The sequence below is a fragment of the Homo sapiens genome, chromosome 4 (genome assembly GCF_000001405.40).
Source record: "Homo sapiens chromosome 4, GRCh38.p14 Primary Assembly".
Classification (NCBI taxonomy): domain Eukaryota; kingdom Metazoa; phylum Chordata; class Mammalia; order Primates; family Hominidae; genus Homo; species Homo sapiens.
The window spans coordinates 86,962,544-86,990,009 of NC_000004.12; the positions used below are offsets into that span (position 1 = coordinate 86,962,544).

At 41.8% G+C, this 27,466-nt stretch overlaps 1 protein-coding gene across 9 annotated transcripts in view, besides 2 other annotated features; it reads left to right on the top strand.

The window, feature by feature from the left end:
* AFF1 (ALF transcription elongation factor 1) overlaps positions 1-27,466 on the top strand; it is a 206,029-nt gene that overhangs the window by 27,533 nt on the left and 151,030 nt on the right. The window lies entirely within an intron of this gene.
* Positions 10,434-10,728: an enhancer, noted in NCBI's record as "tiled region #12874; HepG2 Activating DNase unmatched - State 1:Tss". NCBI's record gives its function as "activates a minimal TATA promoter and a strong SV40 promoter by Sharpr-MPRA in HepG2 cells {active_cell/tissue: HepG2}" and the evidence as "EXISTENCE:reporter gene assay evidence [ECO:0000049][PMID:27701403]".
* Positions 11,274-11,568: a silencer, noted in NCBI's record as "identical tiled regions #10097 and #5096; HepG2 Repressive DNase unmatched - State 5:Enh, and K562 Repressive DNase matched - State 8:EnhW". NCBI's record gives its function as "represses a minimal TATA promoter and a strong SV40 promoter by Sharpr-MPRA in HepG2 and K562 cells {active_cell/tissue: HepG2 | K562}" and the evidence as "EXISTENCE:reporter gene assay evidence [ECO:0000049][PMID:27701403]".

Genomic DNA, 27,466 nt, shown 5'->3' on the forward strand with positions numbered 1-27,466 from the left:
GATGTTCATAGAACACCTGAGGTTTAAAAGTTTGGGTTCCATTGGGCAATATAGGGAAAGCAGCCTTCCCATGCTCTGAGACCCAACTCTGAAGCATTGTCTGGGACCAGCGCCTGGCACTGTATGTGAACTGTATAATCACGTGTTCCTGCCAACTGTGGGTTCAAGTGATGATGAGTCTGATTTTTGTTACTCTGGAACTTACATTATTAAGAGTTTGGGTAATTTGAAATGGTAGGTGACACTATGAATTAATTTCTCAATAAAATTCTCATTTCATATTTACTACTAAAATATTACTTTAAGATATAGTTTAGGATACACATGAAGATAAGTATAGGCCAAGCACGGTGGCTTATGCCTGTAAAACTCAGCACTTTGAGAGGCTGAGGTGGGTGGATCACTTGAGGCCAGGAGTTCGAGACCAGCCTGGGCAACATGGTGAAACATCATCTCTTCAGGAAATACAAAAATTAGCCAGGCGTGCTGGCATGCACCTGTAATCCCAGCTACTTGAGAGGCTGAGGCACGAGAATTGCTCGAACCTGGGAGGCAGAGGTTACAGTGAGCTAAGATCACACTACTGTACTCCAGCCTGGGTGACAGAGTGAGACTCCCATCTCAAAAAAAAAAAAAAAAAAAAAAAAGCATAGATAACTATGTGTAAAGAAACTAGGTATTCATTTAATAATACTTTTTATCCTTTTAGGTTAAGTAAATAGAAATCATATATTTCCTTCAGGTTAGTTTGATCTTGAATGGAAGTTCTCTGTTCTTAATCCAATATTCATTCATTCATCAAAGACTTTGTGGAGAGCCTTTGATGTCAAAAGTGTCAACTAGGAACTAGGGAGAGGGGATGGGAAGAAAAACTGGTACCATGGGGGAGGGAAGGAACTGGGATGGAGGTAGATTAGTCCACAGGGAGTTCACATTAGCGCTTGCGTTCAGGTTACTATGTGTAGGTTACTATGTGCATCTACTCTTTTTCATCCAATGCTTTAAACTTTTTAAAAAGCTTATTCCTAGTCCAGTATTGTATTTTAACCTTATAAAGATCTTATAGGGTAGGTCAGGCAGATAGTTCCATTTGAAGTTTAAAGGGGTTAAGTGGTTTGCCAATGATCTCAGGGTTAATAATGAAACTGTTTTCTCAACCTGGAATGAGTTTTCTCTCCCTTTCCCAGCTCCTCAGTCTATTGATATCTTAGTCATCCTTTAAGGTTCAGCTGAAATACCACCTTTTCTTTTCATTTCTTTTTTTTTTTTGAGACAGTGTCTCACTCTGTTGTCCAGGCTGGAGTGCAGCATTGCACAGTCACGGTTCACTACAGCCTCAATCTCCTGGGCTCAAGTGATCTTCCCACCTTGGCCTCCCAAATGCTATGATTACAGGTGTGAGTCACCATGACTAGACTGGTTTTTTTTTTTTTTTTTTTTTAGTACAATTTTTTTGTAGACCTGGGATCTCACCATGTTGCCCAAGCTAGTTCTGAACTCCTGGCCTCAAGCAGTCCTCCTGCCTCGGCCTCCCAAAGTGCTGGGATTACAGGCATGAACCACCATGCCTGGGTTGTTCTTTTGGTTTTTTTTTTTTTTGAGATGGAGTCTCGCCCCGTCACCAGGCTAGGGTGCAATGGTGTGATCTTGGCTCACTGCAATCTCTGCCTCCCAGGTTCAAGCCATTCTCCTGCCTCAGTCTCCCGAGTAGCTGGGATTGCAGGTGCGCACCACCACATCCAGCTAATTTTTTTTATTTTTAGTAGAGATGGGGTGTTGGCCAGGATGGGCTCAATCTCCTGACCTCATGATCCGCCTGCCTTGGCCTCCCAAAGTGCTGGGATTACAGGTGTGAGCCACCGCACCCAGCCGCCTGGGTTGTTCTATACATCTTTTTTTTTTTTTTTTTGAGATGGAGTTTCACTCTTGTTGCCCAGGCTGGAGTGCAATGGTGCAACCTCTGCTCACCACAACCTCCACCTCCTGGGTTCAAGCAATTCTCCTGCCTCAGCTCCTGAGTAGCTGGGGTTACAGGCATGTGCCACTATGCCCGGCTAATTTTGTATTTTTAGTAGAGACAGGGTTTCTCCACGTTGGTCAGGCTGGTCTCGAACTCCCGAGCTCAGGTGATCCACCTGCCTCAGCCTCCCAAAGTGCTGGGATTACAGGCCTGAGCCACTGCGCCCGGCTGTTATATACATCCTTCTCGTTATTCCTCTATCATAGCTTACTATTTTTAAATATTAAATTTCTGTTTGCATTATTGTATGGTTTCTCTCTCCTGATTAGACACAGACTAATAAAACATTTAGTAATTATTTTCCTCCATCTCATATATCCGTCTGAGTCGTAAACATCTTTTATACCAAAGACCTATTTAATCCTTCAGCACTATCTCTGTGTTTTGCAAATAACCAGCAATTAATAAGTGATTTGAGTTTGCCGCTATTGGAGTTATTGTTGCTGTCATAGAGAGATGGAGGAGTGCTGATGTGGAGGGTGGTTATAATGGGTATTTATTTGACCTTTCTTAGAAAAACAACCCAAAGTTCTTACTCTGTTACTAATGGGTTAACTTAGTGTTGCTGTGAAAGTCTGTAACTGTTAAGACAATTACGCATTGTTGACTCAACTGTTGAAAACTACATTTTAAGGCATCTATATAAAGTCTTCAGAATTATGTAAACAGTGATTTACTGCTACCTATTTGTCTTCATTGACCTTTTAAAAACAAATTCCTTGCACAGGCAAGCCTTAGAGCCAATGGTGCCTACAGGTTACCTGTATTTCACTTTTCGGCTAATTTGTCAATGTTTTCTCACAGCAGTGTTTTTGTCTGTTTTAACCAGGGTGTTTGGTTTGGATTAATGTTCAGTTTCTACACACACTTGCTAAGCCTCTTCTCTTATCCACCTATTAGCAAAAGGGAAGTGAAGGGTATAGCCTGTAGAGGGAATTCCCCCTCTTCATTTTGCATTCTAAGTCTATATCTAGGAAAGCATTGTAGCCAAAAAACCCAGGAGTATTGTCTGTATTTTGAAGATATTTGCTCCAAGATGGCTCACAGAAAAAAAATAATTGATAGTATCATTATTAGGCTAATGGGCATTTTTGACTCCTTAAGAGTTACTTGGCTCAGTCAGTCTGCTGGTTGAGGCTTTGGATTTGCTGATTGCAGCCCATGGGTATTTGCATACGCCTTCCCTTCTCCCAAGGCCTTTCTCCCCCATCAGTGCTTGTCATTGCTGAATTCATTGCACCCCTGTCCCTCACACCCACTCACATGACCTTCTCATACTAATGCCTTTTCACACTTGAGCAAGGTTTCTCCTTAATGAAGACAAGATGCATTAAACTTCCCAATTCAGAAAATTGGAGGGTAATGATATGTATGAAATAAAGTAGTTTCTTTTTAAGAGAACTCAGAGCTGTCATCCATTGATTCAGGGAATGAATGTGGTTTTTGGTGTGCTGTATTCTCCCCTCTTCCCCAGGGTGGTAGTTAGTTTCTTTTTTCTTTCCTTTTTTTTTTTTTTTAAGTTCTGGGATACGTGCAAGGTGGTAGTTTCTACAGTGAGATAGTGACTTGATAATCTGAGAAATATGCATCTTACCCACACACATACCCACACCCTAAATGGAGGTACTACAGTATATTTTGCACTTCAGTAAATGCTCAGCACCTACTGTGTGCAGAGTGATATATATTGAATTTTGTGTGCGGTGCTGTCAATCCTTCCTCTTCTCTGATTTCTGAGACACAATCTGGCTCCTGTGCCTTGTGATTCTGATGAGGCCCTCTCAATTTCTCACCAAACTTCCTTTTGTCTTGCTTGATAAAAGTTGGCATTCCTCAAATCTCTATCTCTGACTTGCTTTCTTTTTATACTATGGATTTTCTCTGTATAATCTTTCATAGTGACTTCACCATCCCCCAGTGGGTGATTCCAACATCTGCATTTTCAAGCCAGGAAAGCACTGTAGCTCCCCCAAAAGCAGAAATATTGTGTATATTTTGAAGATATTTGCTCCAAGATGGCTCACAGGAAAAAAAAAAAAATCATAGTATTACTAGGCTAATGGGCATTTTTGACTCCTTAAGAGTTACTTGGCTCAGTCTGCTGGTTGAGCCTTTAGGATTTGTTGATTGTAGCGTGTGGGCATCTTCCTCTACTTCTCCAGAGGTAAGCCATTATCCCCCATTCTAATTTAATCATTCCTCCTCTTCTGTTCCATAATAATTAGGAGAGACTTCCTTATATGGGGAAGTTTCCCATACATTCCTTTTGCTTCTCTAGTTAAAAACTTCCAGGGCACCATATCTCCTACACTTTAGAGTTTGATTCCCTTAGTGTGGTGTTCAAGCCCTTTATCCCCTGGGCCTCAGCTTGTTTTTCAAGTCTCATCTCCCATCACTACTGTCCTTCTACCAACCTTGGTGCCTTGCTTTATAGAAGATCTCTCAATTCCATATACAGGCTTTTGTCATTCAAGTACTGTGCCTTGGCATATACTATTCCTTCCTCCCATCCCTGCTTCATCAGTCCATCCCTTTGTCTGTCAGTGCTATCAGGGAAATACAGGGTTTTACAGGAACATGTAGGAGTAGTACCTCAGCATAGATTTGAGGACTAATCAGAGAAGACTTCTTGGAAGAGGCAGTTAGGCAGAACACTGATGTATGTTTAGAGTTGAAAAAATTGGGTGGAGGAGTGGATAAAAGAGAGATGTGTGTTCCAGATAAAGGAACCATACTTGTGAAGACTTGGGCGAAAAGAAAAAACAAAACAGAAGTAAACCGTAGGGCCCTTTTGAGGAACTGAATGAAGTTCACTGTAGCTGGAGCAGAGAGCACCAGGTCAGGAAGTGATCTGGTGAGCCATGCTAAGAAATTTGACCATGTATTTAGGGTAATGGGAAGCCATCAAACTATTTTAAATATGTTAGTGGTTTAATATGATTTTAAAAGGTCGCTTGTCAAATGGAGAATGGAGTTTAGTGGGACATGGGCAGGAGCAGAAGCAAAGCAACCCATTGTGGGGATATGAAGTAAGTAGTGCATGGGAGAGCTGAAGAGAATCCAGTGGGCTCTGGATGATTTTTTTTTTTTTGTAAACAATGAGAAAAGATAGGTAGGTTGGATGCATGAAACAGAAGACTCAAGAACAATTCTTAATCATTGGTTTTGTCACTGGGAGATGCTGAAAGATGGGAAAGACTGAGAGTGGTACAAGTTCCTTTTTGAGTAGTCCAGGTTTGAAATGCCTGTGAAAATCCTGGCAAGTGGAGATGTTAAGTGGGCAATTGGTTCTCTAAGTCTAGAGTTCATTGGGGAAGGTCTGGGCTTAAGACACAATTTATTCAGTAGAAAATGAATCACAGTTGTGCATGAGATTTCCCAACAGATGAGAGTGCTCAGGAACTTGAACTACGTAGCAACTTAGTGGGAACTAAGTAGCAGAGAAGGCTTAGTAAGGAGGTTGAGATGGAGCTGATAAAGAAGCTGACAAAACCCAGGAGAGTGCTCTCTTGGCCAAGGGAAGAGCAGGTGGGGAGAAGAGGTTCAGAACATCAAATGCTGTTAAACTGTGGATTCAGTCACCTCTTCCGTGAAACCTCCTCTCTTACCCTCAGGCAGTAATGGTCTCCCATTTCTCAAAGATACAACCTTTTATTATGGCATTTAAATTGTTTTTGTTTTTATCTTCCTTACAAGATTCTGTCATTGGACAGCTGATTATGAGCTAGCAGACACAGTAGAAATTCAATCAATTAATACATTAAATAATTTATAGAAGAATGATTATTGGCCTCTGCCACCAAGAAATGGTTATGTCTTCTTAGTGATTTGCCTGCTTTTTGTCTCCCTGGATTTAGGATGTAGTTTTGAAAATAACATTGACGTTCCTTCATAGACGTTCGTACAGTTTTCAGTATTCACAATGGCAGAAGTATGATATTTCGACTGTGCCCTATTTTTATGCTGGGCAAGGACCTCAAGAACAAAACTCCTGTGACCTTACATAGGGGTCTTACACTGAAGGAGTATGGGAAATAGCAACTCTTGTAAAAATAAGCTGGTCAGTGGGTGGTAGGTAAGCTGAGGGAAAAGATTTATGAGCAACATCCTGTTCTGGGATCACTGCTGGGGACGGAAGAGGGGGAGAAACTGCTATATAAATCACGAAGGCAGCTCAGGAAATAAAGTCTGCCATTGGAGGGTCTCAGGGGGACCCTTCTTGGATATCTTTTGCATAACACATGGGTGAAGGAGAATCAACAGGTGTCACTTTTCTCAGCCCATGTGGGGGGTTGGTGCTGGGTTGGGATAATTCATCTTTCATAAGGGAAAAAAGGAGCAGAAGATGACAGAGTGAGATGGCACAGTGGGCCCCAGAGTCATCTCTAGTTTTGTAATTGCTTGCTGGATTGTGAAGAAAAAAGGAGAGAGAAGGGGCCATTTTGTAGGAGCAGAAGATTGTGTTCATTGGTCTTAGGTCTCACGTGGTAGCCTCTCCACGGAGCGCCTCCTTGTTCCTTCAGGAATCTGCATCAGCTTCTGCTCAGTTCAGGATGTGTAGGTGACATCCTGTCTTGACCAGAGGGTGCATTTGGCTTGAGACTTTTTTTCTTTTCAAATGAAAGACAGTTGAGTCCAGGCGTGGTGGCTCACGCCTGTAATCCCAGCACTTTGGGAGGCTGAGGCAGGCGGATCATGAGGTCAGGAGATCAAGACCCATCCTGGCTAACATGGTGAAACCTTGTCTCTACTAAAAACACAAAAAATTAGCTTGGCGTGGTGGCACGTGCCTGTAGTCCCAGCTACTCAGGAGGCTGAGGCAGGAGAATTGCTTGAACCCAGGAGGCAGAGGTTGCAGTGAGCTGAGATTGTGCCACTGCACTCCAGCCTGGGCAACAGAGCGAGCTTCCATCTCAAAAACAGAACAAAACAAAAAACAGTTGAATCGGTTTATCAATAGGGGATTAGATTCTATGTTATGATGTACCTACAAAATAGAAATGAAATAGTTGTTAAAAAAAAAAAGGGTAAGATAGGCCCGGCGTGGTGGCTCACGCCTGTAATCCCAGCACTTAGGGAGGCCGAGGCAGGCGGATCACGAGGTCGGGAGATCGAGACCATCCTGGCTAACACGGTGAAACCCCGTCTCTACTAACAATACAAAAAATGAGCTGGGCGCCGGGGCGGGTGCCTATAGTCCCAGCTACTCGGGAGGCTGAGGCGGAAGAATGGCGTGAACCCGGGAGGCGGAGCTTGCAGTGAGCCGAGATAGCACCACTGCACTCTGGCCTGGGCGGAAGAGCGAGACTCCGTCTCAAAAAAAAAAAAAAAAAAGGTAAGATAGTTTATATGTGCATCAAGATTGCATGATATAGTATACAAATTACAGAACAGAATCAAAGATATCTTATTTTTGTGGGTAGGAAGCTAGAGCTATATCTACCTAGATAAACACATTCATAGAACAGGTCTGAAAGGGGGTGCACCAACTCCAGCAACATGAATCTTTTGGGGGAATATAATTATTTAGTTTTTTTAATGTTATAACTTTTAAAAAATTATACGTGGAAGGGTAATATTTGTTGTTTGTTCTTTTCCCATAATGTGCATATATCAATTTTATAGTTTAAGATATTAAAGTGGGCCAGGCATAGTGGCTCACACTTGTAATCCCAGCACTTTGGGAAGCCAAGGCAGCAGGATTGCTTGAGGTGAAGAGTTCCAGACCAGCGTGGGTAACATGGCAAGGCAAGACCTCGTCTCTACAACAACAACAACAAAGATACTAAAGTGGAAACACTTCCTAGAATGTTATTTGAAAAAATGAAGGAATGAGTCCCCATCCTGCTACCTCCTTAAGAAGATAAAAATGTTGCTCCTTTACTTAAGGGTACATATTTTTATTTTTAGTTAAAAATATTTGGAGCGCTTGTTGCATTCTAGGTATTGTTCTATGTAGGGAGGATGCAGTAGCAAAACAAGACAAAGGAGATCCTGCTTTCCTGGAGTTTCCATCCTAGTGTGTATGGGTAAACATGTATTATAGATGAAAAATAAACATGAATCATATCAGGGTTATAAAGCAGGTTTGGTGAGGGTAAAGAGTGTCAGCTGGATGAAGGAAAGGTGTTCTGTTTTATATCTAGTCATCAGGAAAGGTGCTGCTGCTAAGGTTATGTTCGAGCAGAGACCTGAGGAAGTTTGCCAGATAGAACTGGAGCTGGGGGTGGAGGGAACTTTGCAGGCGAGGGGGAGCTTGTGCATAGGCCCTGAGGCAGTGTGTGCTTTGTATTTTTGTGGAACAGCAAGGTAGCCAGTGAGGCTGGAGCAGAATGTTGAGGAGGGTGTTTGGGATGAGGTTTGGGAGCTGGCAGGAGGCCAGATTGTGGAGGGCCTTGTCGGCCGTTGGAAAGTTGTTGGAGTGAGAGAGAAAGCCATTTGAGGGTTCCATCAGAGGAGTAGCACTCTTCAAATGCCCTTTAACAGGATCACTTGGGAAGCTTTGTGGGGTTTACACTGCGGTGAGCATGGGAAAAGCACATTAGGGGAAACTATCCTTGCAGTGGATGGGGATTATCTTTCCCTCCCATTTCACTAATGGAGAAAGTCAAATGTTTGGCACAGGAACATAAAACACTGTAAGCAGGGACCAGGTCCTGAGTTTTCCCAGTGGCAACTTCGGTGCTCTGTTTTTCAGAGGAAGCTATCTGGGAATTTCCGTTTCCTAGCATGCATTATAACATGTTATTTTTAATAGCTAGGTCTCTGATCAGTTATTGTGACTGATCTCAGTCTTCTTGCATGAAGATGATGCCTCTGATTTATGATATTTTCTAGAATTCTGAGTCAGTATGAGTTAGTGTCACTTCTTCCATAACAAGGTGGGAATGCACCCATACATTTGGTCCTTGTGTTGCTAGCAGATATGAATTAAGCAGTAGTTTAGCTTACCTTGGAACCAGCTGTTCCTTGCAGATGCACTGATATTAAGGGTACACATGTCTATTATAAGGCTGGTAAATTAGAGTTTGCTTTATCAGAAGCTTATCAAAGGTCTGCTGTGTGCAAAGCACTATGCTGCATTCTTTTAGAGCTATTAGATAAATAGCAATACTCTATCTTTAAGGAGCTTACAGTCTATTGGACACTATGGGCAAAAACACTAATGTTAGAGTTGCAAGATGATGTGGAAGTACAAAGGAGGTAGAGATGAATTATGAGTGGACAGTATGGGAAAGCCTTCCTGAATGAGACAGCAGGTATTTCAACTGGGTGTTAAAGTTTGAAGGGGCGCTGGGTAGGTTGGCTTATGCCTATTATCCCAGCACTTGGGGAGGCTAAGACTGGAGGATCACTTGAGCCCAGGAATTTGAGACCAGCCTGGGCAACAAAGTGAGACTCCATCTCTACAAAAACTTCAAAAGATTAGTCGGGAATAGTGGCACATGCCTGTAGACTCAGCTACATGGGAGGTTGAAGTGGGAGAATCACTTGAGCCCAGGAGGTCGAGGCTCCTGTGAGCTGTGATTGCATGGCACTCTAACCTGGGCAGAGCCAGAGCTTGTCTCAAAAAAAAAAAAAAAAAAAAAAAAAAAAAGTTTGAAGAGCAGAAAAGCAGGCATTTTATGCTTAAGGGAGAGCCAGAGAAGTGACATGGAAGGAAAATGGGTCTGTTACATTTTCTTCCATTACCAGAATGGTCTGTTATAGCTGAGGTTAAAGTATTTTTAAGAGAAAAGAAAGAGGAAGGCAGTGGGAAAAGTAGATGGAACCATTCCATCTAAGCCTGAACTGTCTACTATGGTAGTCATTGGCCATATGTGACTTCTGAGCACTTGAAATGTGGCTGGTTAGAGTAGAGATGTCATGGTATAATACAGATTTCAAAGACTGGGAAAAAAATGTGAAATATCTCAACAACTTTAATTACAAGTTAAAATGAAGACAGTTTTGGGTTATAAATTTAATATTATATTTATTTTAATTTATCTTGAGACAGAGCCTCACTGTATTGCCCAGGCTGGAGTGCTATGGTGTGATCTCAGGTCACTGTAACCTCCATCTCCTGGGTTCAAGTGATTCTCTTGCCTCAGCCTCTCAAGTAGCCAGGATTACAGGCGTGCACCACTACACCCAGCTAATTTTTTTGAATTTTTAGTAGAGACAGGGTTTTGCTATGTTGGCCAGGCTGGTCTCAAACTCCTGGCCTCAAGTGATCTGCCCATATCTACCTCCCAAAGTGCTGGGATTACAGGCCTGAGCTAGCACACCTGGCCTAATATTATTTAGATTTATTCCACTGCTTTCGTTTTTTACCTTTTTAATGTGGCTACTTGCAAATTTAAAAGTGCATTAGTAACCCCCATTATATTTCTGTTGGTTATAGCTGATCTAGGTTAGGGCTAGTAGCCCTAGAAGAGGGATTGAAAGCAGGGTGAACAAGAAAAGGAAAGGGAGAGAAGAAACTGAAAAAGGACAATCTCTGGGATTTGTAAGAGTTTGTGTGTGTGGGGAGGGGGTCAAAGATACTGCTTGTGGCTTCTGACCTTGGTGTTGCAATCAACTTGGAGTGCACTGCTGCACGGAGGCAGTGAAGGGTGGGGGAAGATTATTTCACTTGGGGCCTGTTGATCCCAGGCTGTGCTGTAGGGAGGTTCCTTTGGCAGCCAACTGTGGAGTGGATTAGCATTGGCAGAGCTGGAGGTGGAGAGACCAGTTTGGTTGGATCCCATGCCCGTTAACACCTGGGTGCTGCAGCCTTTTGTATAAGGGGGCAGGATGAGGGTGAGGTTTCGGTGTGGTGTACTATAGACATAATCTGCAGAATTGCTTGGTAGTTTATGCTGAATTTTACATTGGGCTTCTCAATTCTGCCTCAGTTGGTCTCTTAATTTTTTTCCCCCTTAAATTACTACACCCCTTACGGTAGAGAAAAAAGGAAGTATGTAGGTTATGGTATGGCCAAAATTTTTTAATGTATTGAATTTGGACTGGTGTAGCAACTTGTCTTTTTCCTTATTTATTTCTGGAAGCAGATTGATTTGGTAAAGAGAAAGGAAGTATCCAAATAACAGGTCTGCTGATTTCTTACCTAGACTCAGCAAATGTTTATTATGAGGACCTGCCTTTTCCAGAGTTAACGTTTTCTTTCTTTTCTTTTCTTTTTTCCTTTCTCTTTTCTCTTTTCCTTTCTTTTTTTTCTTTTCTTCCTTTCTTCCTTTCCTTTTTCCTTTCCCTTTTCCTTTCCCTTTTCCTTCATGCCACAGATACTTATTGAAGATCTGCTGTCAGATGATGCCTTAAAATCTGATAGATCAAAGATGACCTATGGGAGAGAATACGAGAATAGAAAAATGGGAGTCCCTGTTCTGTTTAACCTGGCAGATAAGCACACAGCCAGATTGTGAAACAATGTGATAAACGCTCTAGCAGAAGAGCAAATAAAGTGTTAAAGGATCATAGAAAACAGCAAAGTGTCACGGATGAAATCTTTCTAATGAGAACCCTGGTAATTCTTTTTCTTTTGGGGCCCTTTGGGTCATGCCATCTTACTTGGAGCAGTGCTATGGCAGAATTCAACTTATTTATTTATTTATTTTTGAGATGGTGCTTTCGCTTCTGTTGCCCAGGCTGGAGTGCAGTGGTGTGATCTTGGCTCACTGCAACCTCTGCCTCCCAGCTTCAAGTGATTCTCCTGCCTCAGCCTCCCAAGTGGCTGGAGTTACAGGCACATGCCACCACGCCGGGCTAATTTTTTTGTATTTTTAGTAGAGACGGGGTTTTACCATGTTGGCCAGATTGGACTCTAACTCCTGACCTCAGGATGCGCCTGCCTCGGTCTCCCAAAGTGCTGGGATTATACAGTCTTGAGCCAACATGCCCTGCCCAACTCATTTATTTAAATTTTATCCTTCTTAAACTTTTTAGTTTGTTTAAATGCAGGGATTTATATTAAATATATTCTCCTTCTGTGGCTGTTCTGCCATTGTAACTGGTTGCTATGAAGCTGCTGTTTTTCCAAGATTTGAAGTGCAGATGAAGGTATTAGACAGGAAATGCCATCCAAAATTGCTAACTTCTGATTTCCTGAAAGGATGGTATTTTTTCTAATTAGCAATAGTCATGTAAAATATTTTAAAGGCCAGTGTTGTGAAATCACAGGAAAACATTTCATACATAAAGAGCTGTACACGGTGTTTTGCTCACGTTAAGTTAAATTCAGAAAAGAGCTTTGGTGACTAAAACGGGCGTCGTAATACAAAAACCAAGTTGTCGGTTTGTGGTGAAGGTATTTTGCCATCGTTTCTGGTTTCAAATTCTAGGCTTTTTCCTTACCCTCTTTCATCTTATGAGTGATATTCTCCAGCTAACTGTTGCCTCTTCCATCCCCCTGTGTCCGTGCTATAAAGATTTTTGTAAAACCATGACTGCTTGAAAAACTCCCTAATAGATCATTATGCTCCCTAAAGAAAACTATTGCAAGTCTCTTTGCAACCCAATACGCACTTATCTCTTTAGTGCTTTTCCTACTTCTCTCTTGTGCACCCTATAATACAACCTCAGTTTTTGCTCCTTTCCCCCAAAAGCCATGTTTTCCCATTCCTCTGTGTTTCTGACCATATTGGTCCCTTCCGACACTACTTTGTTTTTTTAGGGAAATCCTATTTATCCCACCTTAACCTCTTTTTTTGTTTGTTTTGTTTTTGAGATAGCGTCTCACTCTGTTACCCAGGCTGGAGTGCAGTGGTGCAGTCTCTACCCACTGCAGCCTTGACCTCCTGGGCTCAAGCCATACTCCCACCTCCACCTCCCAAGTAGCTGGGACTACAGGTGCACACCACCACACATAGCTAATTTTTATATTTCTTGTTGAGATGAGGTTTCACAACATTGCCCAGGCTGGTCTCGAACTCCTGGTCTCAAGTGATCCTCCTGCCTCGGCCTCCCAAAGTGCTGGGATTACAGGTGTGAGCCACTGTGCTCAGTCTTCCACCTTAATCTTTATTTGGTTTCAGTCCAACAAATAGTTATTGAGGTTTTCCCACATGCTGTGTGTTGAGGATACAAAACTCATTAAGACAGCCTTTTTTTTCTCCCCCCAAGGAACTAATACAAGGATGCAGGTATATAAACACTTAATACTACCTCCTTATCAGAGTTAGGTGTTGAAAATACAGTGACAAATAAAACACAGTTATTCTTTTGCCCCCATAAGGTGTATGTTGTATTGGGGGAGACAGAAGTCAAATATTTAAAATTGACCTATGAGAAGTACTGTGAAGGGGGAAAAGCCCCTTTGATCTGAGAAAACAAGTGACTTGAGAGGGCATGAAGATCAATTTTAGATAAAGAGGAGGGTCAGGATTGGCCTCTTTGAGGAGGTGACATTTTAAAAAAGACATTTAAACAAGTAATTACGGTATCATATAATAATTATTATAGGGTGAGTATAGCAGGCCTACGAGAAGAAGTGTAAATGTAAATGAATGGTTATAATACAGTGTGTTAAGTTCAATGATGGAGGGATGTAACAAGGAAGGGAACTTCTGTAGTGGGAGGGGCACACAGAGTTTTTATTGCCCTGCAGTGGAAGGATGTGGGGAGGGTTGGCTGTAGGGCTTTCCATGCAGAAGCACAGAGGTTTAAAACAATTTGGGTTGTGTTCACAGTATTTAACACATCTATACTCACATTCTGGTATTATTACTGGCATTTTGCATTGCAAGGAGCCCAGAGGCAGGTAAGGAGGCAGAGAGGTGGGTGGTGTAGAAAGGCGCTCCGCATTATGGAATCAACCATGGAATCAACCTAGGTGCCAGTGGTAGACTAGATAAAGAAAATGTGGTACATATACACCATGTCATATCACGCACCCATGAAAAAGAATGAGATCATGTCCTTTGCATCAATGTGCATGGAGCTGGAGGTCATTATCCTAAGCAAACTAACTCAGAAACAGAAAACCGAATACCACATGTTCTCACAAGCGGAAGCTAAATATCAAGTACATATGGACAGAAAGAAGGGAACAACAGACCCCAGGGCCCTACCAGAGGATGGAGGGGGAGGATTGAAAAATGACCTAACATGTACTATGCTTATTACCTGGGTGACGAAATAATCTGTGCACCAAGCTCCCACAACATGCAATTTACCTGTATAACAAACTTGCATGTGTACCCCTGAACCTAAAGTAAAAGTTAAGAAAAAGAAATGGGCTCTGGAGCCAGAACTGGGTGCCTACCTCGGTGTCTCACATGCCCATACCTGATGTCTAGGGCAAGGTTTGTAACTCTTTGTGCCTCAGTTTCCTCATCTGTAACACTGAAATGATGATAGCACCTACCTTGTCAGGTTATTGTAGTGATTAAGTAACTTAATACTTAGGAAATTCTTGGAACAATGTCTGGCACACAGCAAGTGCCCAATAAATGCAGGTGATGGTGCCTGTGGGCATTTTATTGCATGGAAATAATCTTTGACCTGTTGGAAATCCATGAAGGCCTATTTGCAGTGGAATAACTTGATCATGTTTCTGTTTTTCAAATACAGTAAGTAGTCCCCCCATATGAGACAGATACATTCTAAGACCCCCAGTGAGTCCTGAAGTCACAGATAGTACTGCACCCTATACACTATATAGTATGTATTTTCAATCTCATAACTGAAACAGCTACTGAGTGACTTACAGGTGAGTAGTATCTGTAGTGTAGATATACTGGACAAAGGGATGATTCACGTCCCAGGTGGGACGGAGAGGACAGCGAGAAATTTCATCACACTACTTAGAATTGTGTGCAATTTAAAACTTATGAATTGCTTATTTGTGGAATTTTCCATTTAATATTTTTAGACCTTGGATGACTGTGGGTAACTGAAACCATGGAAAGTGAAACTGCAGATAAGGGGGGCTTCTGTATTGTTTTAGAGGGAGTGTGAGCATGTGTGTTAGGAGGGGGCTGGAATTGCATTTCTGTGGATTCTCCAACCTCACCTTTTTCCCTCACCCCCTGCATAATTACCTGTTCCTTCACCTGTGTTCCCATGGTGTCTTATCTCTGCTGTGGCGTTTTCCTATTGTATTTTATAGTCTGTGTTTCTCATACTAGACTGGGTCCCCTCAGGGTGTTAAGGACTATGTGTTACTCATCTTTACATCCCATTGCCAAGAATAGTACCTAACACTGGCACATACTGGGCACTCAATAAATGTTTGTTGAATTGCTTTGAAAGGTTTACCAGGGAGTTGCCCTAACATAATTCTGGAGAAAGGTCCTCCCATAGAAGAGTCTGGGCACGTTGCTATGGGAGAGTGTTTTCTTTGTTTCACACACCAAGTATTTATCGAGTGCCTACTGCACACTGTGCTGTGAGGGGATACATAGATGAGTCAGACGTGTACTCTGCCCTGGGTTGTGTTGACTTAATCGTGGGTGGAAGGAAGATGGTAAATGGTTGCTGATAGGTTTAATGAGAAATAAGCTATGATGTGGTTTAGTTGTATTTGGGCTTTTGTTTAGAAGCATAATTATTTCAATCAAAGAATGTTAGAATTTTTTTAAAATGATGTCTCATTGATGGTAGCTTACTTCTCTTACTTCTCATTACATTCACTTTTTTTTTTTTTTTTTTTTTTTTGAGATGGAGTCTCGCTCTGTCAGCTAGGCTGGAGTGCAGTGGCACAACCTCGGCTCACTGCAACCTCCACCTCCTGGGTTCAAGCGATTCTCCTGCCTCAGCCTCCCGAAGAGCTGGGACTACAGACGCGTGCCACCATGCCCAGCTGATTTTTGTATTTTTAGTAGAGACGGGGTTTCACCATATTGGTCAGGCTGGTCTTGAACTCCTGACTTCATGATCCACCCACCTCGGCCTCCCAAAGTGCTGGGATTATAGGTGTGAGCCACCATGCCCGGCCTACATTCACTTTTATATTATGATAGAATCTGTCTAGTAAATTTCATAGTGTAGTTTCTTTTTAAATTTTTATTCTTTTGGAGACAGGGTCTTGCTCTGTTGCCCAAGCTGGAGTGCAGTGGTGCAACCAATATAATATAAAGTTTCATAGTGAGCCTGCTTGTTTCTTGGATTTTAATCCTGAGTAGAAATGATTCCACTTAAGGTGGGATATATCCTTGTCTGTAGCCAGAAGACCTTCATGAGCTCTTGCTACCTTTTCTTGGATTTACTTTGTAATCAGTGTTGCGTATTATGTTTTACTGGAGGTGCCTAGTTACAAGGTTTTATTACAGCAGTATTTCTAAACATTTGGTTAGTCTGTCTCTGCTTTTCCCACCATAATTTTCTAGCACTTGTAGCTCACCTTATCTCCCACTTCCCTTTTTAAATAGAAAACAGGCTTGTTCTGTTTTGACCAGGTATAACTCTTTGCTCAGACTGTCTCTAAAGCCCAGAAAACTATTCCTCTAGTGGTCCAATGAAGTGTTCCCCATTGAAAGTTTGCCTCATGTACTCTCAACTCCAGTGGTCTTCAAACCACTGGAATCACTGAATACCGTCTCCTTTGCCTCTGCCTCTCTTTTTATTTTTTTGAGACAGAATCTTGCTCTGTCGCCCAGGCTGGAGTGCAGTGGCGTGATCTCGACTCACTGCAACCTCCGCCTCTTGAGTTCAAGTCATTCTCCTGCCTCAGCCTCCCGAGTAGCTGGGATTACAGGCATGTGCCACGAAGCCCGGCTGAATTTTGTAATTTTAGTAGAGACGGGGTTTTGCCATGTTCACCAGGCTGGTCTCGAACTCCTTGACCTCAGGTGATCCTCCCGCCTCGGCCTCCCAAAGTGCTGGGATTACAGGGATGAGCCACTGCCCAGCCTGCCCCTGCTTCTCTTAACACACTGGGAAGCTCCTGCTGTAGCAAAATCCTCAATAAATAGGTGTTGATTAGATGAACTGATACGAATAAAACCTATGTGGGGGTGGGAGAGTTTTTAAATTACTCAGATTTTTAAGGAGGATTTCAATAGTCCTTTTTATCTTTGTGAAAATTTTATTTGAAAGTTCTTATTTTAAAATATCAAACCTGTCAGAACAGCTACACTTTTAAATGCTCCTTTAATATGAAAAGATACTCAGTCATGCATAAAAAGAGAGATGCAAATGAAAACTACATTTAGCTATCATATCTTGTCTATCGGAGTGGCAAAAAATAAAGTTTGACAACATGTCTTATTGAAAAGGTTGTAGGGGGAAGATACTGTGCTTACATACATAGCTGGTGGGAACGCAAAATACTATGACTGTATTAGGAGAATTTGACAATATGTAGCAAAATAACATTTGCATTTACCCTTTGGTCAGCCAGGCTCACTTCTAGAAATCTATCTCCCTAGGAATCTAACTCTTTTGAGACAGAGTCTCACTCTGTTGCCCAGGCTGGAGTGCAGTGACGTGGCCTCAGCTCACTGCAACCTCTGCCTCCTGGGTTCAAGTGATTCTCCTGCCTCAGCCTGCCGAGTAGGTGGGACTACAGGCATGTGCCACCACACCCGGCTAATTCTTGTGTTTTTAGTAGAGATGGGGTTTTACCATGTTGGCCAGACTGGTCTTGAACTCCTGGCCTCCAGTGATCCACCTGCCTCTGCCTCCTAAAGTGCTGGGATTACAGGTGTGAGCCACTGCACCTGGCCCCTAGGAATCTAACTCTAAGATACACTGGCAAAATATGAAAAAAATGTCCAGAAGTCTATTCATTACAAACTATATGTAATAGCAAAAGAGTGGAAAAATCTAAATATCAATAAAGAGTTGGCTTAAAAAACCCAGCTGGGCATGGCGGTACATGCCTTGTAATCCCAATTACTTGGGAGTCTAAGGTGGTAGTATAGTTTGAGGCCGCAGTGTGCTGTGATTATGCCAGATGGATAGCCACTGCATTCCAGCCTGGGCATTGTAGTGAGACCCCATCTCTAAGAAAATAAAAAAGGAAACCCATTTGGGATTTCAACACACTAGAGTATTAATATACCTGTAAAAGGAAATGGACTATTTTCTACTGTTGCATAATCTCTAAGAGATATTATTTTTTAAAGTAAGGTATAGGACAACATGTACAATAATGCTACCTTTAGTAAGGGTAGAAAAAAATGAAAATGTGCATTCATTTGCTTATATTAAAAGAATAACGAATAGAAAGCAAACTTAAAAACTGATTGAAGAGAACAGATGGAGGAGAGAACGATAGAAGCTAGACTTTCCTGAATGTACCTTGCTTTGTGGCTTACTTTGGAACTATTAAATGTGATATATAATTATGAAATAACATTTTAAAAAGTTGAGGGAGGAACTTATCCTTTAAAAGTTGAAAGTAATGGCCAGGTGTGGTGGCTCACGCCTATAATCCCAGCACTTTGCGAGGCTTGAGGCACCCCCCCCCTCCACCAAAAAAAAGGAAAGTAACAATGAACAAATGAACTTAACAGTGTTTTGTTTGTTTGTTTGTTTTGTTTTGAGACGGGGTCTCGCTCTGTCGCCCAGGCTGGAGTGCAGTGGCACAATCTCGGCTCACTGCAAGCTCTGCCTGCCAGGTTCACGCCACTCTCCTGCCTCAGCCTCCTGAGTAGCTGGGACCACAGGTGCCCACCACCAAGCACGGCTAATTTTTTGTGTTTTTAGTAGAGACAGGGCTTCACCATGTTAGCCAGGATGGTCTCGATCTCCTGACCTCGTGATCTGCCTGCCTCAGCCTCCCAAACTTAACAGTTTTTTAAGTTGATTATGTAGGAATTGTAGGCAGGCCTTGCTTTGTATAGTTCTGATATGCACAAATTTCAGTTATTATGGTTTATTTATTTTCTTTATTTTTGAGATGGAGTCTCACTCTGTTGCTCAGGCTGGAGTGCAGTGGTGTGATCGCGGCTCACTGTGATCTCCACTTCCCAGGTTCAAGCAATTCTCCTGCCTCAGCCTCTGGAGTAGCCTGCGATTCCAGGCACCCACCACCATGCCCAGCTAATTTTTGTATTTTTAGTAGAGATGAGATTTCACCATGTTGACCAGGCTGGTCTCAAACTCCTGGCCTCAAGGGATCCACCTGTCTCGATCTCCCCAAAGTGCTGGGATTACAGGTATGAGCCAGGACCCCTGGCCTAGTTACTATGTTTTAAATAGCTCCAGCCCCCAACACGGTGGTTCAGATTTCAGTTAGGACAGTTTATTAACTGTGCAATTTCATAAAGCACAAAGTTTGCTTCTAGCTTGTTATACCACAAATCACTTTATAAATAACAGACGTGCATCACGATCTCTAACCAGTCATTCTCTTCCTCTTAAAGCCTGTTGGTGACTGGTCACTAACATCTGCTCTTCAGTTTATACACAGACAGCAAGGCGTGTAGTTGTGTTGCCTGTCTCCCAGTAATAAACCCATGTGATATTTTACATAAATGGATCACCAAAAGAGGAAATTCGCCAACAGAGATCAAAGCACGGGAAATAAATGAGAAGTGACAGCACTGAAGTGAGATTCTGCAGAATGTTAATGAAGTTACAGAAGAAATAGCTGACTGTGGGAATGTGCAGTGAAGAAATTTACTGAAAGTCAACTTACTGATATAAATGAGGAAAGTCATTGTGAGGAAAAGGATGAAGATGTCCCAGAGGAAGTGGTGCCTCACAAACACTTTGTATTAGAGAAACTTGCAGAGAGATTTTACCACATTGAAGGAGCAAAGGATTCAATGTTGGAAGTTGATCCATACTTAGCAGGGAGTACAACAGTTTGCTAAGGCAAAGAAAAGATGTTCACATTGTGTCAGAAATTATATGACAAGAAGAAGGCAAGCGCTGTTCAAAGAAAAAAAATTGGCTTTTTTTTTTTTTTTTTTTTTTTTTTTTTACAAAGTGCTGTAGTCTGTTTGTATCCCCCTCCCAAATTTATATGTTGAAATTCTAACCCCCAGAGTGACAGTATTCAGAGGTGGAGCCTTTGATGGTGATTAGGTCATGAGGGTGGAACCTTCATGAATGGGATTAGTGCCCTTATAAAAGAACTTGGGCTGGGCGTGGTGGCTCATGCACTTTGGAAGGCTAAGGCAGACAGATCACCTGAGGTCAAGAGTTTGAGCCCAGCCTGGCCAACATGGCAAAACCCTGTCTCTACTAAAAATACAAAAAAAATTATTCAGGCGTGGTGGCAGGTCTCTGTAATCCCAGCTCCTCTGGAGGCTGAGGCAGGAGAATCGCTTGAACCCAGGAGGCGGAGGTTGTGGTGAGCCGAGATCGTGCCACTGCACTCCAGTCTGGGCGACAGAGTAAGACTCTGTCTCCAAAAAAAAAAAAAAAAAAAAAAAAAAAGGAAGCTTGTTTGCCCCTTCCACTGTGTGAGGGCACAGGTAGAAGACGCCTTCTTTTAACCAGGAAGTGAGCCTTTACCAGACACTGAATCTGCTTGTGCCTTGCTCTTGGACTTCCCAGCTCCAGAACTGTGAGAAATAAATTTCTGTTGTTTATAAGCAAGCCAGTTTTTAGTGTTTTGTTTTATAAGCCTGAGTTAGACTAAGACACAAAGAAATAGAATACTTTGTCAGGCCAGGCACAGTGGGCTCAAGCTTGTAATCCCAGCACTTTAGGAGACCAAGGCTGGCAGATCACTTGAAGTCAGGAGTTTAAGACCAGCCTGGCCAACATGATGAAACCCTCTCTCTACTAAAAATACTAAAACTAAGGCTGGGCACAGCGGTTCACTCCTGTAATCCCAGCATTTTGGGAGGCCAAGGTGGGAGAATCACCTGAGGTCGGAGTTTGAGACCAGCCTGACCAACATGGAGAAACCTCGTCTCTACTAAAAATATAAAATCAGCCGGGCATGGTGGCACATGCCTGTAGTCGCAGCTACTCAGGAGGCTGAGGCAGGAGAATCACTTGAACCCAGGAGGAGGCAGAGGTTGCAGTGTGCCGAGATCACGCCATTGCACTCCATCCTGGGCAACAAGAGCGAGACTGTGTCTCAAAAAATAAAAAAATTAAAAAATAAAAATACTAAAAATATAAAAAATTAGCTGGGCATGGTGGTGCACGTCTTTAATCTCAGCTACTGAGAATTGCATGAACCCCGGAGGTGGAGGTTGCATTGATCCGAGATGGCGCCTCTGCACTCTAGCCTGGGTGACAGAGCAAGACTCTGTCTCAAATGAAAAACCAAAAAAAAAAACAAAAAACAAATAAAATACTTTGTCGCCAGGCGCAGTGGCTCACGCTTGTAATCCCAGCACTTTGGGAGGCCGAGGCAGGTGGATCACGAGGTCAAGAGATCGAGACCATCCTGGCCAACACGGTGAAACCCCGTCTCTACTAAAAATACAAAAAATTAGCCAGGCGTGATGGTGGGTGCCTATAGTCCCAGCTACTCGGGAGGCTGAGGCAGGAGAATGGTGTGAACCCGGGAGGTGGAGCTTGCAGTGAGCTGAGATGGCGCCACTGCACTCCAGCCTGGGTGACAGAGCGAGACTCCATCTCAAAAAAAAAGAAAAAGAAAAAAGAAATGCTTTGCCAATGTATCTAGTGTTTTAAATCATAGCCTACTAAATATTACTTTTTTCATTTCTTTATAAATGTGTAAGTGACAGAATTATTAGCATTTTGACAGAAATTTGTAAATGCTGTGGACAATCGTAATTTTTCCTGTTGATGATTAAGGTTGTTTGGCACAGTTTCGGCTTTCATAGTCGTTTCTATGGTCCTGCACTATTTTTCAAAGTGAGAACTGTATTTCAAGTGACCCTTTTTTTTTTCCAAGTGACATTTTTTTTTCTTTTTTTTTTTTTTGTGACTGAGTCTTGCTCTGTTGCCCAGGCTGAGGTGCAGTGGTGCAATCTCAGCTCACGCAACTTCTGTCTCCTGGATTCAAGCAATTCTGCTTCAGCCTCCCGAGTAGCTGAGACTAGGCGCACGTCACCATGTGCAGCTAATTTCTTTTGTGTTTTAGTAGAGACAGGGTTTCACCGTGTTGCCCAGGCTAGTCTCGAACTCTGAGCTCAGGCAGTCCGCCCGCCTCGGCCTCCCAAAGTGCTAGGATTACAGGCATGAGCCACTGTGCCTGGCCAAGATACATCTTAAGGATGAAAAAGAAAGAAAGCTGGATACAGTGGTTTAAGCTTGTTATCCCAGCACTTTGGGAGGCTGAGGTGGGAGGATTGCTTGTGTCCAGGAGTTTGACATCAGCCTGCGAAGCATAGCAATATCTTGTCTATATAAAAAATTTTAAAAAGTAGCTGGGCATATAGTCCCGCTACTTGGGATTCTGAGGCAGGAGGATTGCTTGAGCCCAGGAGGCTGAGGCTGCAGTGAGCTGTGATGATGCCACTGCATTCCAGCCTGGCAGCAGAATGAGACTCCATCTAAAAAAATAAAAATAAAAAAGACAAATCTTAAAGTGTTCTCAGCAAACATGTTTAGTAATGGTATTGGTATTATTATTGTACTTGTTAAGAAACAAATAGAGAAAAGAGATACAAACAAAATCAAACAGTTTAAAACACTGTAATCCTAAATTTAATAGAAAAGGGAAACTAACATGTTTTATAAATACAAATATTAATAGTAATATAATATATATAATTATGCATAATATATAAAAATATAATATATATAATATGTATTACTATATATATATATATATATATATATATATATATAAAATTATATTTTAGGCCGGGCAGAGGGGCTCACGCCTGTAATCCCAGCACTTTGGGAGGCCGAGGTGGGTGGATCACCTGAGGTCAGGAGTTTGAGACCAGCCTGGCCAACATGGCAAAACCCTGTCTCTACTAAAAATACAAAAATTAGCTGGGTGTGGTGGTGGGCGCCTGTAATCTCAGCTACTCAGGAGCCTGAGACAGGAGAATTGCTGGAACCTGGGAGGCAGAAGTTGCAGTGAGCCAAGATCATTGCACTCCAGCCCGGGCCGACAACAGCGAGACACTGTCTCAAAAAAAAAAAAAAAAAATGTAGCTCGGCGTGGTGGCAGGTGCCTGTAATCTCAGCTCCTCGGGAGGCTGAGGCAGGAGAATCGCTTGAACCCTTGAAGCGGAGGTTGCAGTGAGCCAAGATCACACCATTGCACTCCAGCCTGTGCGAAAAGAGCAAAACTCCATCTTAGTAAATAAATAAACAAAAATTAAAATGATACTAAATAGCAAAATCCAGTAGTTACTTTTGGAAAATGGCAGGGAACTAACTCATAATTAAAAAAATAATAATAAAAGAATCAAGCATTTATCCTAGTTTTTTGAATAAGCTGTAACTCAGTGTAACTAAATGATAGAGAAAAAGTTATTTACAGAAAAAAAAACTAATAAAAAGTGATAACATTATCATTTTGCATCCTCTCTCTGAATAAGCAAAGATTACCACTAATTGATAATACTGTTAGGTAAAGAGCTGGTGAGAAACTTTGTAATGGGATGTCTTAAAGTGACTAATTAAACACCTGAATCCTTTTTTTAAAATTTAATTCAATTCAATTTAATTTAATTTAATTTAATTTAATTTAATTTAATTTAATGTAATTGGAGACCGAATCTCACTCTGTTGCCCAGGCTGGAGTGCAGTGGCATGATCTCAACTCACTGCAACCTCCACCTCCTGGGTTCAAGCGATCTTGTGCCTCGACCTCCCGAGTAGCTGGGAGTACAGGTGCCTGCCACCACGCCCAGCTAATTTTTGTATTTTTAGTGGAGACAGGGTTTCACCATGTTGGCCAGGCTGGTCTTGAACACCTGACCTCAGGTGATCCACCCGCCTTGGCCTCCCGTAGTGCTGTGTTACAGGCATGAGCCACCGTGCCTGGCCCTGAATCCATTATTTAAAGTTAAGATATTTTTAAAAAGAGTTAACTATTGTGCCTCTTCTCGTGATTTAATGAGGTATAGACTAACCACCTATGAAATAGTCTTTCCAAAAATTTAGACAGAAATCTGATCAAGCCAGTTTATAGAACATACATTCAACTGAGAAACATGTTAAAGGACTCTTCTTGGATGCTGTCAGCAAAATTCATAATGTTAGAACTCTGCAGAAAAAAAAAATTGTTTTTCCCCCAACAAATAAATCTCATAAAAAAGAATATAGATTATAAAGAAGCCTAAGAGACATATCAACCCTTAATAAAAGGATCCTGTTTGGCTCTGAACACACTAATGAAATTGGAAGAATAATTAGATATTTGATGCTAGTAAGGGAAATTTTATTAATATTACATTAATATTAAGTAATATTACATTAATATCAAGTAATAAACATTTTAGATAACATAATAGTATTGTGGTTATTATTATTATTTTTAAAATCATCATTTTTTAAAGAGAGGGTCTCTGTTGCCCAGGCTGGGGTGCAGTGGTATGAGCATGGCTTGCTGGGTACAAGTGATCCTCTGGCCTCACTGTCCTGAGTAGCTGGGACTACAGGTACACACCACCATGCCCAGCTAATTTCATATTATTTTTTGTAGAGATGGGGGTCTTGCTATGTTGCCCAGGCTGGTCTCAAACTGCTGGCATCAGGTGATTCTCTTGCCTTAAATCCTCATCTTCAAGCCTATTTAAAACTGAAAACCCTTATCCTGAATTTCTTATCAGTAAAATAAGGAAGAGGACTAAATGTCTTTGCTGCTTTCTCTGTGCTCTGCTCTAGCTGTTATATAATAGCCACTCCCTCATGATTTCCTTCTCAGAATCTTATTATTATAATGTATAAGCAATAATGTTGCTTGTGGATAAGACTTTATTTAATGCGTCTACCTCTGGGGGCAGGAACTTCAGGGCTCACGCTGGATGACCTGATTGACCCTAGGAAGTTGCTCTGTACCCTCTTCCAGACCATTTGTCCCCTCCTGAGCAGGATCTGAACATAACAGCTCTGGGCCTTGAGTCAGGGGTCATTTAGGGTCTTGATAACCAAGAATGTATAGACTGGGATGAGTTAGACTTGGTGGAGAGCCAACCCTCTGTGTGGAAGTCCTAATTCTTCAGTAGGTGATAACTGATTAATACCCATGTGGAAACCAGAAGCAATAACCACCAGAGAGTAGTAATGATTTGGCACACCACCCCCTTTTTGCAAGTTATTATTTGTGTTTTAAAAATCATTCAGTCTGGCCAGGCACAGTGGTCATGCCTGTAATCCCAGCACTTGGGAGGCCGAGGCGGGTGGATTACTTGAGGCCAGGAGTTTGAGACCAGCCTGGCCAACATAGTGAAACCCCATCTCTACTAAAAATACAAAAATTAGCTGGGCATGGTGGCACACGCTCGTAGTCCCAGGTACTCGGGAGGCTGAGGTAGGAGGATCGCCTGAGCCCAGGAGGTGGAGATTGCAGTGAGCTGAGATTGTGCCACTGCACTTCAGCTTGGGGGACAGAGTGAGACTCAAAAAAAAAAAAAAAAATTATCCAATTTTAAGCTGGGGTCATGTTATTCCCGCCCACCCCCCAACCCCAGAGTTTCTGATTCAGTAGTTCTTTTTGTTTTTGATATATAATAATTGTACATACTTATGGAGTTACATATACATTAGATACATTTATACAATGTGTAATGATTAAATCAGGGCAGGGCAATTAGGATGTTCATCACTTAAAACATGTATCATTTCTTTATGCTGGGAACATTTCAAACCTTCTCTTGCAACTGCTTTGAGATATATAATAAGTTATTAACTATAGTCACCCTACTGTGCTATCAAACACTAGAACCTGTTCCTTCCATCTAACTGTATGTTTTGAACCATTAACCAACCTCTCTCCATACCCCGCCTCCCAGCCTCTGGTGACCATCATATGGTTCTCTACTCCGTTAGATCAACTTTTTTTTTTTAGCTACCACATTTGAGTAAAAACATGCGATATTTGCCTATCTGTAGGACCTTCTTAAGACTGTGAAACTGTACCTAGGAATCCAACTTACAAGGGATGTGAAGGACCTCTTCAAGGAGAATTAAAAACCACTGCTCAAGGAAATAAGAGAGGACACAAACAAATGGAAAAACATTCCGTGCTCATGGATAGGAAGAATCAGTATCGTGAAAATGGCCATACTGCCCAAAGTAATTTATAGATTCAATGCTGTCCCCATCAAGCTACCATCAGCTTTCTTCACAGAATTAGAAAAAACTACTTTAAATTTCATATGGAACCAGAAAAGAGCCTATATAACGAAGACAATCCTAAGCAAAAACAACAAAGCTGGAGGCATCATGCTGACTTCAAACTATACTACAAGGCTACGGTAACCAAAACAGCATGATTCTGGTACCAAAACAGATACATAGACCAATGGAACAGATCAGAGGCCTCAAAAATAACACCACACATCTCCAACCATCTTATCTTTGACAAACCTGACAAAAACAAGCAATGGGGAAAGGATTCCCTATTTAATAAATGGTTTGGGAAAACTGGCTAGCCATATGCAGAATACTGAAACTGGACCCCTTCCTTACACCTTATACAAAAATTAACTCAAGATGGATTAAAGACTTAAACATAAGACCTAAAACCATAAAAACCCTAGAAGAAAATCTAGGCAATACCATTCAGGACATAGAATTGGGCAAAGACTTCATGACTAAAACAACAAAAGCAATGGCAACAAAAGCCAAAATTGACAAATAGGATGTAATTAAACTAAAGAGCTTCTGCACAGCAAAAGAAACTACCATCAGAGTGAACAGGCAGTCTGCAGAATGGGAGAAAATTTTTGCAATCTATCCATCTGACAAAGGGCTAATATCCAGAATCTACAAATAAACAAATTTACAAGAAACAAACAACACCATCCAAAGGTGGGTGAAGGATATGAATAGAGACTTCTCAAAAGAAGACATTTATGCGGCCAACAAACATGAAAAGCAGCTCATCATCACTGGTCATTAGAGAAATGCAAATCAAAACCACAATGAGATACCATCTCACACCACTTAGAATGATGATCATTAAAAAGTCAGGAAACAACATGCTGGAGAGGATGTGGAGAAATAGGAAAGCTTTTACACTGTTGGTGGGAGTGTAAATTAGTTCAACCATTGTGGAAGACAGTGTGGTGATTCCTCAAGGATCTAGAACCAGAAATATCATTTGACCCAGCAATCCCATTACTTGGGTATATACCCAAAGGATTATAAATCATTCTGCTATAAAGACACATGTACACATATGCATACTGCAGCACTATTCACAATAGCAAAGACTTGGAACCAACCCAAAAGCCCATCAGTGATAGACGGGATAAAGAAAATACGGCACGTATATACCATGGAATACTATGCAGACATAAAAAAGGATCAGTTCATGTCCTTTGCAGGGAAATGGATGAAGCTGGAAACTATCATTCTCAGCAAACTATCACAAGGACAGAAAACCAAACACCACATGTTCTCACTCATCAGTGGGAATTGAACAGTGAGAACACATGGACACAGGGAGGGGAACATCAC